This window comes from Homo sapiens, chromosome 5 (genome assembly GCF_000001405.40).
Source record: "Homo sapiens chromosome 5, GRCh38.p14 Primary Assembly".
Lineage (NCBI taxonomy): Eukaryota > Metazoa > Chordata > Mammalia > Primates > Hominidae > Homo > Homo sapiens.
Window position 1 is genome coordinate 106,996,502 of NC_000005.10, and position 17,308 is coordinate 107,013,809.

Below are 17,308 nucleotides of genomic sequence, written 5' to 3' on the forward strand. Positions count from 1 at the left end.
GAATTTTACCGAAGACCTTTTCTGCATCCACTGAGATAATCATGTGGTTTTTGTCATTGATTCTGTTTATGTGACAGATTATGTTTATTGATTTGCATATGCTGAATCAGCTTCCATCCCAGGATGAAGCTGACTTCATCATGGTGGATAAGTTTTTTGATGTGCTGCTGGATTCTGTTTGTGAGTATGTTATTGAGGATTTCACATTGATGTTCATCAGGGATATTGGCCTGAAATTTTCATTTTTTGTTGTGTCTTTGCCAGCTTTTGGTATTGGGATGATGCTGGCCTCATAAAATGAGTTATGGAGGAATCCTTCTTTTTCTATTGTTTGAAATAGTTTTAGAAGGAATGGTACTACCTCCTGTTTGTACCTCTGGTAGAATTTGGCTGTGAATCGTCTGGATCTGGGTTTTGTGTTGGTTGGTAGGTTATTAATTACTGCCTCAATTTCAGAACTTGTTATTGGTCTAGTCAGGAATTTGACCTCTTCCTGGTTTAGTCTTGGGAGAATGTATATGTCCCAGAATTTATCCATTTATTCTAGATTTTCTAGTTTATTTGCATAGAGGTGTTTATAGTATTCTCTGATGGTAGTTTGTATTTCTGTGGGATCAGTGGTGATATCCCCTTTATCATTTGATTCTTCTCTCTTTTCTTCTTTAATAGCCTAGCTAGTGGTCTACCTATTTTGTTAATCTTTTCGAAAAACCAGCTCCTGGATTCATTGATTTTTGAAGGGTATTTTGTGTCTCTATCTCCTGGAATTCTGTTCTGATCTTAGTTATTTCTTGTCTTCTGCTAGCTTTTGAATTTGTTTGCTCTTGCTTCTCTAGTTCTTTTAATTGTGATGTTAGGGTGTCGATTTTAGATCTTTCCCGCTTTCTCACGTGGGCATGTAGTGCTATAAATTTCCCTCTAAACACTGCTTTAGCTGTATCCCACAGATTCTGGTACATCGTGTCTTTGTTCTCATTGGTTTCAAAGAACGTAGTTATTTCTGCTTTAATTTCATTATTTACCCAGTAGTCATTCAGGAGCAGGTTGTTCAGTTTCCATGTAGTTGTGCGGTTTTGAGTGAGTTTCTTAATCCTGAGTTCTAATTTGATTGCACTGTGGTCTGAGAGACTGTTTGATTTCCATTCTTTTACATTTGCTGAGGAGTGTTTTACTTCCAATTATGTGGTCCATTTTAGAACAAAAGCTATGTGGGCTGAGAAGAATGTATATTCTGTTGATTTGGGGTGGAGAGTTCTGTAGATGTGTATTAGGTCTGCTTGGTCCAGAGCTGAGTTCAAGTCCCTGTTAATTTCCAACTCATTGATCTGCCTAATATTGACAGTGGGGTGTTAAACTCTCTCACTTTTATTGTGTGGGAGTCTAAGTCTCTTTGTAGGTCTCTAAGAACTTGCTTTATGAATCTGGGTGCTCCTGTATTGGGTGCATATACATTTAGGATAGTTAGCTCTTCTTGTTACGTTGACCCCTTTACCATTATGTAATGACCTTCTTTAACTTTTTTGATCTTTGTTGGTTTCAAGTCTGTTTTATCAGAGACTAGGACTGGAATACCTGCTTTTTTTTTGCTTTCCATTTGCTTGGTAAATATTCCTCCATCCCTTTATTTTGAGACTTTGTGTGTCTTTGCACATTTAGTGGGTCTCCTGAATATAGCACACTGATGGATCTTAACTTTTTATCCAATTTGCCAGTTTGTTTCTCTTAACTGGGGCATTTAGCCTATTTACATTTAAGGTTAATATTGTTACGTGTGAAACTGATCCTGTCATCATGATGCTGTTTGGTTATTTTGGACATTAGTTGATGCAGTTTCTTCTTAGTGTCAATGGTCTTTACATTATGGTTTGCTTTTGCAGTGGCTGGTACCAGTTTCTCCTTTCCATATTTAGTGCTTCCTTCAGGAGCTCTTGTAAGGCAGGCCTGGTGGTGACAAAATCCCTCAGCATTGGCTTGTCTGTAAATTATTTTATTTCTCCTTCACTTATGAAGCTTAGTTTGGCTGGATATGAAATTCTGGGTTGAAAATTCTTTTCTTTAAGAATGTTGAAGATTGGCCCCCACTCTCTTCTGGCTTGTATGGTTTCTGCATGAGATCCACTGTTGGTCTGATGGGCTGCCATTTGTGGGTTACATGACCTTTCTCTCTGGCTGCCCTTAACATTTTTTCCTTCATTTCAACCTTGCTGAATCTGACAATTATGTGTCTTGGGGTTGCTCTTCTCATGGAGTATCTTAGTAGTGTTCTCTGTATTTCTTGAATTTGAATGTTGGCCTGTCTTGCTAGATTAGGGAAGTTCTCCTGGATAATATTCTGAAGTGTGTTTTCCAGCTTGGTTCCATTCTCCCAGTCACTTTCAGGTACACCAATCAATTGTAAGTTTGGTCTTTCCACATAGTCTCATATTTCTCATATTTGTTCCTTTTCATTCATTTTTCTCTAATCTTGTCTTCCTGCTTTGTTTCATTAAGTTGATCCTCAATCTCTGACATCCTTTCTTCTGCTTGATCAGATCAGCTATTGATAATTGTGTATGCTTCACGAAGTTCTCGTGCTGTGTTTTTCAGCTCCATCAGGTCATTTATGTTCTTCTCTAAACTGGTTATTCTAGTTAGCAGTTCCTGTAATTTTTTTTTTTTAATCAAGTTCTTAGCTTCCTTGCATTGGGTTAGAACATCCTCCTTTAGCTCAGAGGAGTTTGTTATTACCCACCTTCTGATGCCTACTTCTGTCAGTTCGTCAAACTCATTCTCCATCCAGTTTTGTTCCATTGCTGGTGAGGAGTTGTGATCCTTTGGAGAAGAAGAGGCATTCTGGTTTCTGGAATTTTCAGCCTTTTTGTGCTGGTTTCTCCTCATCTTCATGCATTTATCTACCTTTGGTCTTTGGTGTTGGTGACCTTTGGATGGGGTTTCTCTATGGACATCCTTTTAGTTGATATTGATGCTATTCCTTTCTGTTTCTTAGTTTTCCTTCTAACAGTCAGGCCCATCTGCTGCAGGTCTGCTGGAGTTTGCTGGACGTCTGCTCCAAACCCTGTTTGCCTGGGTATCACCAGTGGAGGCTGCAGAACAGCAAAGATTGCTGCCTGCTCCTTCCTCTGGAAGCTTCATCCCAGAGGGGCACCTGCCAGATGCCAGCCATAGCTCTCCTGTATGAGGTGTCTGTTGACCCCTGCTGGGAAGTGTCTCTCAGTCAGGCGGCACGGGGGTCAGAGACCCACTCAAGGAGGCAGTCTGTCCCTTAGCAGAGCTCGGGCGCTGTGCTGGGAGATCTGCTGCTCTCTTCAGAGCTGGCAGGCAGGAATGTTTAAAAGTCCGCTGAAGTTACACCCACAGTTGCCCCTTCCCCCAGGTCCTCTGTCCCAGGGAGATAGGAGTTTTATCTATAAGCCCCTAAATGGGGCTGCTGCCTTCCTTTCAGAGATAGCCTGCCCAGAGAGGAGGAATCTAGAGAGGCAGTCTAGCTACAGTGGCTTTGTGGAGCTGCGGTGGGCTCCACCCAGTCCACACTTCATGGTGCCTTTGATTACACTGTGAGGGGAAAACCGCCTACTCAAGCCTCAGTAATGGTGGATGCCCCTCCCCTCACCAAGCTGGAGCATCCCAGGTCGACTTCAAACTGCTGTGCTCACAGTGAAAATTTCAAGCCAGTGGATCTTAGTTTGCTGGGCTCTGTGGGGGTGGAACCCACTGAAAAAGACCACTTGGCTCCCTGGCTTCAGCCCTTTTTCCAGGGGAGTGAACAGTTCTGTCTTGCTGGGGTAAGTCTGTGCTAGCACGCAGCAAGGGCAGCAAAGAAGGAACCCCAAGCTGACGAGCTCAGCTACATAGCCCCAAGAAGCTGAGCCACCCTGGCCAGAGCCACCTTTTCCCTAAAACTATTTTTAAAAGAGTAGAATAGCAAAAATATGAGAATACATGATTAAAGTGAACAGAAATGAGAGATAATGCTCTTGCAATTCTAGCTACTTTAAATACCAGCTAAAATTTCTATGTAATCATCTTCCTACATCATTAAAGATATTGATTCATATAGGTTATGTTAGTCAATAGTTTTAAAAGTTCTATATTCTCTTTCCAGGGGGCCTTTCTTTTAGTAGGCTATCTATCATTTCTTTCATTTTTTATTGGTTTCATTTGAGCAAATTATTAGAAGATAGTTTGGAAATAACAAGATTTGCACAAATGATGAGGACAAGTAAAATAAGAAAAAATAAGTAGTTAATTGGAATCAAACATTTAAATCCCAATTCCAGCAAAACTCTCAATATCAAAATCATTATGATAATTACATGAAATAAGGATGCCTACACTTCTAGGTGCTCATAAAGGCATATTGTACCTGTATTATAGGTCACAAGTCAATACAATGAGCAATTATGAGAGTTAAACTCAGAATCAATCCTTCTATTCAATCCTCACAATACCCTACATTTCTTCTTCACTAAACATACCACTATTATAGTGAATATTATTTATTAGACAATTTGCCTAATGTCTGCTAGCCTTAGGAAAAGCACAGAGAATTTTAGTGTTTTTCCAAATTTTCTCAGAAACCTAAGATCTGAATAAACCATAAAAATGGCAAATGACCATCAATAGAATACACAATATTTTTAAGGTAGTAAAAAAAAAAACAATATTTTCCGTGTCTCCTATACATATTTACTAACAGACTAAAATTCCCAAATATAACAATAAGGAAGTATAGATAACAAAAAATGCAAGGCTATGCTCACTCCACCCGAGGGTGTCTTCCAAACAACACTGTGGAGAGGCAGGCAAAGGCCAAAACAGCCATTCTTCACCCAGTCCATGAGCTCAGAGGGTCAGGTAGCAGGGTAAGGGAAGATGCCCTCTCAGCTCAGCAGAGTCACGGTGAGAAAATATGCCCGCTGGCAATTGGGAATTGGTGCTGGGTATATTTGCCTGTCTTTTAGGCAAAGATAGGAAAAAGGGATTTGACCTAGCGGACAGTATTCAGGTTGTGTCTGGTGGCACATACCTGGCTTGCAGTTATCTTTATTACAGGGTGAGAAAACAAGAAACTAAAATATTGGTTGAACAAATTAAGATATAAGTTTTATCAAATATCATACATATCATAACATACAAATATTAACAATTCTGTTATTAAAATTATAAACAAATTAAAATTGGTAAAAAAAAGTTGTAATAAATTGGGAAAAACAATTATAACAAATGAAAATAATTATTATAGTAATATATGCTAATACTCCAAAATATGCCACAGGGCAAGAATAAATGCTGCATGCAAAAAAAGAAATATAAAGAGAGAAAATAAATTTAAAATACTTAACTGAAATGCAAGCAGTAACGAGTTAGGATTTTTTTATTTTGCACAACCTCCCTATTGATAATACTGAGAGTTTAAGGGTCCCTGGTATTCTGATGGTAGGAGAGTTCATTGAAACAATATTCCTAGGAAGCCATTTGGGGTGTTTTATCACAAAAACCTTGAAAAAAAGATGCAGTATTACAATTTGACCCAATAGATTCTAATTATAGAATTACAGAATGACTTACTTATTCATTCATGTTTTCATCCTATGTATGTTCATGCCAGACATGTAGTATGAACACATTAACAAGTGAATAAATAAATTTTTAAGGAACTCAATTATTTTATTATTTCAGAGCCAATGTTAGGCTTCATTACAACTTCCCAAGTCTTTACTTAGACAGCCATATAAAACTCATGTTCATAATCTACCACTTCACTGGGAAATCAGATAATGATATATTAATAGCTATCATCCAGTGTATTCTTATGAAATTATCTGGCCACTAAGAACATTAAGAGTGGGAATTTGTCCAAATTTCATGATGATATGTCTACATCACATCACAAACAAACTGTTGTTCCAGATTGATTTTCAACTTTATCTACTGAAAATAAAGTGGAATCCTTTAGGGTTAAGATCTACTTTTAAAACACTGTTTTTGAACTACATGTTCTGACATTAGAAAAGTAACTCACCTAAGTGAATTTCTTACGTGGTGTTCTTTTTTCAAAGGGGGTAAGTGACAGCACTTCAAGGGACACAATCCTTCAGTTTATATATACACCACAATTTTGTGTTAAAGTACAATATTCCAGAAGACAGGTGTCATAGGTTTCACACCATAGTAAGAAGTTTAAATATTGGTAGGGATGATAACACCATTTCAAGATAATCTTTTTTTAATTATAAGTTCAGATTTCTATTAGAAAGCATCTTCTATAATATATCAACTTGTTTAGGGGAAATTTTTCTCAATGGGATTGAATAATGTTACTTCTTTGTAAGCCATACCAAGAGGAAGATTCTTTAGAAAACAACTTCAAAATTAGTTCTTCTTAAGTTGAGGTTAAAAGAAACCCCGTTTTACCTTTTTGAGGGATATTACTATAGAAAGAAAAAAGTTAAATTGATGCTAAAAAGCATGAATGAAGACATTTGGTTAGTTTGAGCAGATAACGAATTTTTAATATGAAATGTTTTGCCTACCCATTACACAAAGTGTTACCTTATCTAAGTTTCTTTGATTAAATGGCACCAGAGAGTATTCGAATTGGTTTCTGGCCAGTTTCATTATCATTCTTCAGAACATTAGGGAATGTATTAGATATATTCTTTGACCTTTTGAGTAACATATTGAATTCTAGAATGAAACACAGTACACACAGCCATAATTTTTTTCATATTATTAAGCTATATCACATTTCATTTTTCTTCTTTTATCCTGATGAATCCTTAGAAAAATGAACATGCTGTGTTTCAAAGACATGAAGAAAGCATTTCTCTTGAAGATAGACACTTACAAATCTATTCCCAAGTATCAGGCAGAAAGGGGGACCAGTCACTATATATAAGTGGCCAAAGTGATTAAAGGGATGTGTGGAGGATATTTAGATTCCTGCTTCTCCAACTTTAGAGTGCCTAAGAAACACCTGGGATCTTGATAAATTCAGAGAGTAATTCACAAGGTCTGGGTGAGGTTTATAATTTTTTAATTTCGAACAAACTCCCATGTGAGAATGGCTATTTTCAGTCACCCACTTACTAAGTATAAGCACTATTCAGAAAGCAGGATACACAGGGCTAAGGTTCTCATCTGCGTCTTTGAAAGAAAGAGGTGGCACCTAGGTCAGTATGAAAGTTTTCACAATTCCCTATCAATCCTGGAGAAGCTCTCTATGAATCTTCCCACAGGCTTTTCAACACAATACTGCTCACAAATACTCTCTTCCAGCATAAATGCATGAACACTATCATATCATAATTACTATTAGCTAGTACGTATTCTGCTATTCCTAGGTGCAGGAAATGGTGATAAGAACATAAGCAGAAAAGAAGTACGTGGAAGCCCTTGCCCTTGGGTTCTTAAAAGCCAACTGCCTACATGGGTTCCAGTTGTGGACATGGGTTCTGCCTTTGGAAATTTAAGGTCTAGTTGCAGAAATAAGCAAAAGAGGGCAGCTATTAATATGAGATTGTTCATGCCCAGGACCAACTGAAAGGGAATATGGTACTTGACTATGAAGGAGAAAAATGGTAACTGAGAGAGAATAGTGCTAATAAGGAATCAGAGACACAGCGAAGGTGACTGGGATTGGATATAGATATTAAAGAAATGGTGAGACTTGGTTTAAAGAAAAGAACATGTCCCAAATATGTCTTTATAATATATGAGAGCTATTGTATTCTGTACTTTTAGTACAATTTTACCAAGAAATACATCTTCCCACAAGATACTGCTTAAATGTCCTATTCATTCTATAACAAGGCAACTGTAAAAGGAGAGATTAAACTGCCTTCTTATTGAATGGGCACTTTAAAACTATCAGACATTTTCACTGTACCAAAAATGTGTCTTTTGGGAGTATATTAGACTTTCCATTATGAGGAGAAGAATGATATGCAAGACAGACACAGAGACGACACTGACTTAACTTGCAGAAGAAACCCAAAGTCTCCAGGGAGAGGAAGGACTGATCTCAGAGACCTAAGGGAAGGAAACCAGCATGTGGACCAGAATGGAGTGATAGGAATTCTCAGGCAGAAAAGGCACCAAAGATGCAAGAAGCCATATCTATTAAGAGGACATTGGGAATTGAGTTTGGAGACCTGGGCTCCTTAGGCAATGTGATGGCTTATTAGGGTGGCTGACGGTGAAATTCATATAGACCCAGACACCCTGGAACTGGTTTTGTTGAGGGAGAAACGGCTGAACTTAAAATATGCACCAAAAGGAGGTATAGTGCTGGTCCCCGGAGTGAGGCACCACTGTGTCCTGAGCATCAGCCGAGAGAAGCCATTGTTCCCAGGATTCTGTAGGGCCACTCTATATACACTATATGTCTTCAGAAAGCTAGCACTCTAATTGCTCTTGTTCTTATCATACTGATTTTTAAAAGCAAAATTTTACCCACCCTCCCCCAATTAAATATGCTTCTGAAGTTCTTAAACAAATTAGAAGTTCAGGGGAAGGCATTAAAATAAGGATAATTGAATTTTCTGCTACTAGGACATGTATAATTAATTAGAAAAATAAAAAAGATAACAGTATAATTATATCAGTTTATATAAATTATAATTTCTTCATCCACAAATATATGTGGATATAGGCATAGTACTAAGTATAAAGATTAAGAGGAGAACAAGAGAACAAAACATCTTATTTTTGTAAGTTTTACTGTCTAGAGATCCTCTTCATAAGGCCGGTCCTGGAAAAGCTTCCAATCACATATGGCTATCTGGACTGAGTAGCCACTGAATAAGAGCTAACATGCTCTCCTCCTGTCATTATGTAAAAGACTAGAGCCCTCAAGCACATTACAAACTCTCTTCCTTTAGGTCAACAAAGGCTACTAATCCTGAAAAGGGTGATATTCCGTATAGGAGAACCTAGACACACAGTCCCTGCTAGAGGGAAAAATGAGGCCGGGAGTGTTAAGGTAGTCACATGGCAGGTAATCTTTTAACTTCGTGAAACATATATACAACCCATTTTCAAAGAATCAACCAAAATCAACATATTTATGAAAACACCAGAGGACAAAGAACACATGGAAAGACCAATTTGCCTTAAAGCATGTTTTGTCCACACACAACTTTAGTCACTGAGATAAACTGTGCATATTAAACTCTCTCATAGTTACAAATATTTTTCTTTCTAAGGCTGCTGCCATCAACTGATATCAAATAATTAGTGAACTAAAAGGCTAGTTTCAAAGACTTGTAAAATGTTGGCCACTAAGGCACTTAATGACTGGCAGATGCTCAAAACTAATACTACACGTCAAGCTACAATTTAACAAGTTTAAAACTAAATGAACACAGATTATCTTCTGTGGGTGGTGTGTCCAAAAACAATTTGAGTCATGCAATTTTTCATTTTCTGTGTCTGGTTTATATTTTTAAAGCATATCAAGTAGCAGCAGATAAGGAGACATTATGTGTTCTTTAGGTAAAAGGTTTGTTACATGCCAAGTTTCCACTCAATCTAAAGGACTTTTATAAAGGTGTGTGCTAACAGCTGGATATTTATTTTACTATATCCAAACTCAAGATTTGTAATTCAGGCTAAATAGCATAAGCCATTCTCTAAAGAATCTAATGTATCATTTGCAGACAGAAGAATAGGGATAGAGGAGTGGAGAAAGATAGAGAAAACTGCGGAGGCATTCCCAGGCTCACAGACTTGCGAGCCTTAATAATGAGACCAACTATGATAAGAATCCATTTCCATTGCCGATAATCCGTGGCTATCAAACCAGCTGGAACCAACACTCCTGTTGTTAAATGACACATTCTAATCATCACTTCAGAGAAGAATTACAGAACATATATACAAGCCTAAGTGTCTTCTTGGCCTTCACAATATTCCCTTTACATAGAGATGCAAACTCAGCATCAGCACACAGCCTGCTATTTTCTTACTGACTTTAAAGTTTGCACATTCTATGTAGGGCACAATACTCATTGCAACAAAATTAAGTAGTAAACAATTTAGCTGATGGATTATGAATTCAGGTTTTGAAGATTTAATCTAACTTACATGAGATCAGCTCTGCCCTTTAAAAACCTATGTTGTTGATGGCCCCAATACTCTGGTGTCCCATTTGCCCCCTTTTACAATTCCCATTCCAATTGGCACCCAGTACCAAAACCTGTATACACTGTCCAAGTCCATCCAAAATAGCCAAGAGAGTAATGTGCATATTGGTTAAGAGCATATACTTTCCAATCAAGCATAACTGAGTTCAAATTTTGGTAAAGCATTGTTGATTGACATGGGGTAAGTCAATTAGCCTATCTATGCCTCAATACCTTAAACTTACAAAGGGAATAATTATGTCTCAAAAGGTTGATTTGAGAATCAAATTGGACAGTACATGTGAATCATTTAGCATAGTTCTTTATGTGAAGAATGATAATACTTGTTGTTATTACAGCTCATACTAAGCAGACCAATGCTACTAGTAAGCCTTTAATTTCTCTACATTCCCTCTAATTTATATTCCAGCCTAAGTTTTGTGCCGTTTCTCCAAAGCCGTGTTCTTTGTGGACATAAAAAGAGAAAAATAAAACATATCAGAGAATATGGCAACATGTTGTGGTGGATAATTTAGCAGTTGGGGTCAAAAACCTTAAAAATGTACGTAATTTTTATCTAGTTAATTCATTGCTAGGAAATAAACATGAAGGTCTTTAGAGGTTTTTTTGTAAGAATGCTTTTTTTAAGCATGTTTATAATAGAAAAGATTTAGAAAACAAATGTCCAATAATATGTGCTACGCTGAATAAATATGAAGCACACTCAACAGCATACTCGGTAGCCTATAAAATGGTATAAAGAAGAATATTTAGTGTCATGAAAAGATGTTCAATAAATAAATAAATGGGCATATACTATGCATGAGGCAAGTTTTGTAAAATAATAATCTGTGTGTAAATAATTTACCACAGGACAGAATTTACCTAGTTGGGGGACTAATTTTTTGAAAACCCTAGATGTTTTTCTCTATTTTGCAGGGTTTTATAAAATGAGCATATATCAAGGTCATACGCAAAAATATTGAAATTTTTTAACATTCTAGGCCTCTGGAATGGCCTCGTTAATGTGAACCTGACAGTGGGATTCTCAGACAAGGTACTGAAGAAAATGATATTGGTTTATTTGGCTTCCCAAACTATATTACTCCAAACCAGCCATAGTTCCAAGTCTAGCTCATTAATAATAAAGGTAGATGAATTCTATTATCACATCCCATTCTGTATAAAATAGATGTTCTTGGAAAATTTAATAAATGCTTTTCTCTCATGAAAAGACTTTCCAAATGTCTTTAACTTAATACATTTTTTCTAACCACAATCTTAAACTCATTTAAATTTAGACACTCCTGTTATATTATTTTAACTAAGTTCAATGTTAATATAAGCAATATATTTGAGGAATGTGATGAAGCAAGTTGTAAGTCATATATATGGTCATAATAATGTTCCCTTTGGGGAGAGTTTCATAAAATATCAAACATCGCCTTCTCTTATGGCATCCTGAAACAGATACATTTGTTGACAAAATCTTATTGCATCAGGGACATGACCACAACTTCCAGGTGCTAATTCTTCACAGTGAGTCCTTCTTACATTTGCTCTTCGCTGAACCTCTCTAATTGAGGTGCAGCCTACAGGCAAAGGAAGGATTAAAGTTTTAGAGACTATAACCACTGAAGAAGCTATAGTATCGCATTTGTACACACACACACACACCCATAAATAAGTGTATGGATGTTCAACAAGGTTTGAATTTGTCTACAATGGTGACTTATTTAATGTACCACTTGAAATTAACTTATTTCTAAATAATTTTTAAAATTTTATTTATTTTTGTTTTGGTTTTCTTATTTTCTTACAAGAGCCTTGCTTTGTTAGTGTTCCAAATGTTCACTCAGCTTGCCTACTGCATAAATCTAGCACTAGGCAGCCTGAATAGTAATTGAATAATGAACCTATAGTAATAATTATTTGAGACTAGGTATCTGGGGGATGGTAAGAGAAAAAAAATCTTCCAACATTATTACATGTTGTTTAGGCAGTCATTCATCTTAATGTTCAAATATGAAATGGACTGTGAATGGAGGAATGGTCAACCAGGAAGGAAAAAAATGGAAATCATGTCCTCCCTTCCTTTTCAATGACAGCATTCACTCAGCCACTGGAAGGACAAGCACTTCTATGCCAATCAGCTGCATCCAAGCGGCACTTAAGTGCTTCACATGCATTTACCACTTTAAGCCTAGAGACCCCTGAGATCACCTACTTTTGTAATTTTTTAAGAATGCTACTGAGGAGTAACACCATGTTATATGGTGTTACAGTTAAGAATTCATTTTTCAAAGCCCATCTGCCCACATTGGAATCCTGGTCTCACAAATTTTTTTTCTTTTTCTTTTTCTTTTTCTTTTTTTTTTTTTTTTTGAGATGGAGTCTCATTCTGTCACCCAGGCTGGAGTGCAGTGGCACGATCTTGGCTCACTGCAACCTCTGCCTCCCAAGTTCAAGTGATTCTCCTGCCCCAGCCTCCTAAGTAGCTGGGACTACAGGCACGTGCCACCATGCTCAGCTAATTTTTGTTTTTTTAGTAGAGACCGGGTTTCACCATGTTGGCTAGGCTGGTCTTGAACTCCTGACCTCAAGTGATCCACCTGCCTCAGCCTACCAAACTGCTGGGATTACAGGCGTGAGCCACCATACCTGGCCACAATTTATTCTTTAGAGGACCTCTCTGTGCCTCAATTTTCTCAGGTGTAACACAGGACTCATGATAGTACTAATTCATAGGCTAGTGTGAAGATTACAAATTACCTGAGTCAATAGATACAAAGTGTGAAGCATTGCCTGAAACATAGCAAACACAGAGAATAAGTGGACCACTACTGGATATTGCAAATAGAAAAGTGATAGGAATTTAGTTGATTGAGGCAGGCAGGGTCCAGATCATATAGGGTTTTGTAGGGTCTGACATGAAATTTGGATTTTTTTTCCCTAGTGTAATATGAATTTATTGCAGATTATGGGGTTAAATCAGATCATAAATGCAAGGTATCTAGTATAATACCTAAAGTACTAAAGGTGTGGCTTTAATTATTAAATATATGTTTAACATAATATGTATGTGTGTGTGTGTATATCTGTGTCACCACACTGGCCAGCAAATAATTACTGCAGGTCATTGGAAACCTGCTAGGAACCTCTAGACCCGAAAGAAAATCAGTTGGTGGACTCTGAGCCACACCGTACAGCACTGAACGACTGATTGCTTTTTAACAGCAGTAAGACATGGAGTAGTCGTTTATCTGAAGATTCAGAGGTTAGATTCAGGAAACCTGCCTATTTACGTAAGGTTTTTGCCAATCCTAGTACAAGCAAAGGTAAATTCCATAATGTGAATGTCTACTCTCTTAATATGAACAGCTCCACAGGATCAAAGAAAAAGAAGTGTTTTCTCTCTCTCTACTCAATCCTCTAACACAAAGTGCCTTGGGGAACAATGCTACTGCTTTCGGAAAGTGAAATGGCATTCCCATTTAACATAAATGGGTCTTATTAGAAGGCAAAAGAATGGCTATTTACAGTTATGCCAACTATTGATTAAAAAGAAACTATAAGCCCAGGCAACCTGAGCCTGCTGCGCACCAAGTCTCAACACAAGCGATCCGGTCAAAAAGAGCTGCAGGGTTCCCGGGGCCTGCACTACTTTGGACATGAGAGGAGTGGTCTCTGAGCCTGGGACTATGGAGAGAGAATATGCCCACTTGAGCGGTAAACACAGCTCCTGTATGCTCATAAAATCAAGTTTGTGAAAGTCAGAAAGAAAAGGCAGGTCTGCATTGCAGAACTTTAAAAAAATGCACATAAACATTTTAAAATGAAAGTTATATGGATTCTCCTTACCATATAAAGTAGAATTTTAGAACTTTTCATCTCTCTCAGAGATTATATAAGAGCGTAGCCTCAGGAACAATGTGACAAACAAAACTTAGCAGTTTGTATTAATATATGAAGCAAGATTATGAATTACCAACAACTAGCAAAGTCTGAGTACAACTGATTTCTGTTAAAAAGTAAACTTTCGTTTTCAGGGAATGTAAGTATTAACGATATTTAAAAGACAAACACAGATATATTACACAGGTGAGAAGATGATTGTAAAGATTACATTAATTGTTATGACATTCATCATTGTATTAGTCCCGATGCTGGGTAATTTATTAGGCTGGTGCAAATGTAATTGCCATTACTTTTAATGGCCAAAACCACAATTACATTTGCACCAACCTAATATAAAGGAAGGAAGTTTAGTTGACTCACAGTTCTGCATGTCTAGGGAGGCTAGAGGAAACTTACAATCATGGTGGAAGGCAAAGAGGAAGCAAGGTTCTTCACATGGCACACGAGAGAAAAGCACAAGGAGGGGAAACGCCAGACTCTTATAAAACTGTCAGATCTCGTGAGAAATCACTCACTGTCACGAGAACAGCGTGGGGGAAACTGCCCCCATGATCCAATCACCTCTCTCCCTCTACGTGTGAGAATTGCAGGTCCTACCTCAACACGTGGGGACGGAGATGAGATTTGAGTAAGGACAAAGAACCAAGCCATGTCAATCGTATTTTGTTAAGTACGAAAACAAGTTACGGATCGGTATGTATATCATAACCTCGTGTTTAGAAAATTCATTTCTTATAAATCTGCATGGGAGAAAGTCTGGAAGGATACACGTTAAATTATTAACTGTTCTCATCTTGTAGAAATGACATATCTGACTTTTTTCATTTTTTCTGTTATATGTAACTTTAGTACAATAATATACACACATTTATATGATGCAGTTAAAATCACAAACCTTTACATCAGATTGTAGATAGAAACTAAACTGTCCAAATTTTTTGGAAATTTGAATTCCCAAAGCAAATGAACAGGTTCACAATAGATTGAAATCCTTAATTGCTGCAGCATGAAAACATCCCAATAATTCATTTACGTGCCATACTGAATATGGATTCCTTCGTTTGATATTCCTGTGGCTTGGGCCTAGCGCTGAAACTAGAGATGACTGTGCTGTCGGTAAGACAGCTGCTGGCTGGCTGGACAGCATGCTCATCTGGCCATCTTGAGGGAAATGCGGTTACTGACAACGCTAGGAAATGCACAGTGTGAGCCCAGGCAAAAGATCTGGATCAAGGCCAGCAAGTTCTTCTTCCCCAGATATCCGATGAATGCTAAATTAATACTTGCTGAATGACTGACTATTTAATCAAGATGTAATTGGAGAAACCTTAGGCAGTGCAACAGATGTACCTCTCCTCCAGTATGCCTTAGAGAGCTTTGTGATTTCACAGGCACCTGCCCTTGCATGACGCGATCACATGCTTTGCATCCACATGTACACTCAACTCTGAATGGTTTATGTCAAAATCTGGTATCAATGGAACAGTGTAATCATGTCCACATCTTTTAGAACCTCACATCAGGGTATTGCTTACATGTGCAATCTGTGTTAATCTAAAATTCACATGCACATTGTTCAAACGAGCTCATTTTTCCACAAAACAGGCTTCTATTGCAGCTCCTAGAGAAGCCTTATTTCAGTATTTCCAGAAAAATGTATTAAACGTCTAGCAATATTAAGGAACTTTACTTACATAAATTTCTTGCCTTTTAATATAGAAAATACAAAATTAAAATACTTTAAAAACAAAACAAGTAAAACAGAAATGTATAAAGAGAGTAAAATGTGCCCTAATTCACCCAGGGCTGCCACTACCCGACATAGTGACTTTGTGTGAATTTAGAATATGTAACCTTTTCTCAAGATAAAACCCAAAAACTTAAATTAGTACTTTCTCACACAATCTAAACCATATAACATGTTTAGGTAATGCCTGAGTGTGGTTTGCATAAGAAATGTCCATACCAATCTCTCCGGATCAGTGAAGACGTGTCAGTGTGTGCTCCCAAGTGTGCACATGAACACATGCGCCAGGCTGGGCTCTCCTCCACTACTCCAGCACTCAACCGAAAATCCCGGAGCCACCGAGACTGCCCGCACATTTTAACACATACAAGTTAAAATACGTGTACGATGTGACTGATGGCAGAGAAAGCAGGAGTATATGCGTGGCTGAAGTCATTTTTAATTTGGAAATTAATGACAGAAACCATCAGAGACTCTGTTTTGTATATATAAAACTCCATTGGATCTACATTAAGGAAAAATAGATTTTTTAACACAATCTCTTTGAAAGTCTAAATGCCACAATGCAGTTTCAAGTGGCAGATGTTTACACAGCTTGTACTTTCCCCTACCTATACTTGAAACACACTTGCAAACTCAAGGGAAACTGTTCCATTCTATATTCAAATGTCAATAGGGGGATTTCGAAATACATGTCTGTATCAAATTTGGTGTGAAAATGTGTTTTGTGGAACTTGTGAAAACTCCCATTTGAGGCGTCTTTCTAAATAGGACCATGCGGAGCACATTTTATACCCACCAGGTTCTTAGACTTGATGTCTGTAAGTGACAGCATATGGATTTCACATCAAATTAAATAAAATGCTTAGGGTCTTCTTCCCATGCATTCTAAGATTCTATTTTCAATAGGAACATCAGAGCTTAATATTGCATTTCTATATGAATAAAATGAACCCTGAATGAATAAAACAGATAATAAATGTTTTGTTTTATCATTCTTTCTACTAAACGATCAGAAACTAGTTTCAGATATGTTTTATAAATGTGAAGAATTACTGAAATGAATTCTTCAAAATCCATCTCTACATGTAGTAAGGATGCAATCCAAGGATTTCTCTCTTTTTTTTTGGTTTCTACTTTGTTATTATCTGGAAACAACCTAATTATCATCAACAGAAACATTTGGACTAAAACTCTTTGTAGTTGTGTAATAAAGAAAATCTTCACATAATGTGAAATATATATATATATTTCACATAATGTGGAATATATATATATTTCACATAATGTGGAATATATATATATATTTCACATAATGTGGAATATATATATATATTTCACATATATATATGCTAGAGATACATATATATGCTGGATTCTTTTCTACTCACTTGTTTAGGAAAAGATTGATCTCAGATCGGGTTTTGAAAAAGCTCCTTTTTCTCACACTGCCCCCTCACTAACTCCCCACAGCCATTCTTTCCCTGATTCTAATTCCCTCTCTCTCCTGTTCCATTGG

The 17,308-nt window shown here is 37.2% G+C and overlaps 1 long non-coding RNA gene across 1 annotated transcript in view; it reads right to left on the minus strand.

Annotated features, from left to right (window-relative positions):
• LINC01950 (long intergenic non-protein coding RNA 1950) overlaps nucleotides 1-14,513 on the minus strand; it is a 195,818-nt gene extending 181,305 nt beyond the window's left edge. Inside the window, exon 1 of the long non-coding RNA NR_104671.1 lies at nucleotides 14,439-14,513. This is a non-coding gene — a long non-coding RNA (long intergenic non-protein coding RNA 1950). The remainder of the gene's footprint in view (nucleotides 1-14,438) is intronic.
• Between the last annotated feature and the right edge of the window lie 2,795 nt (nucleotides 14,514-17,308).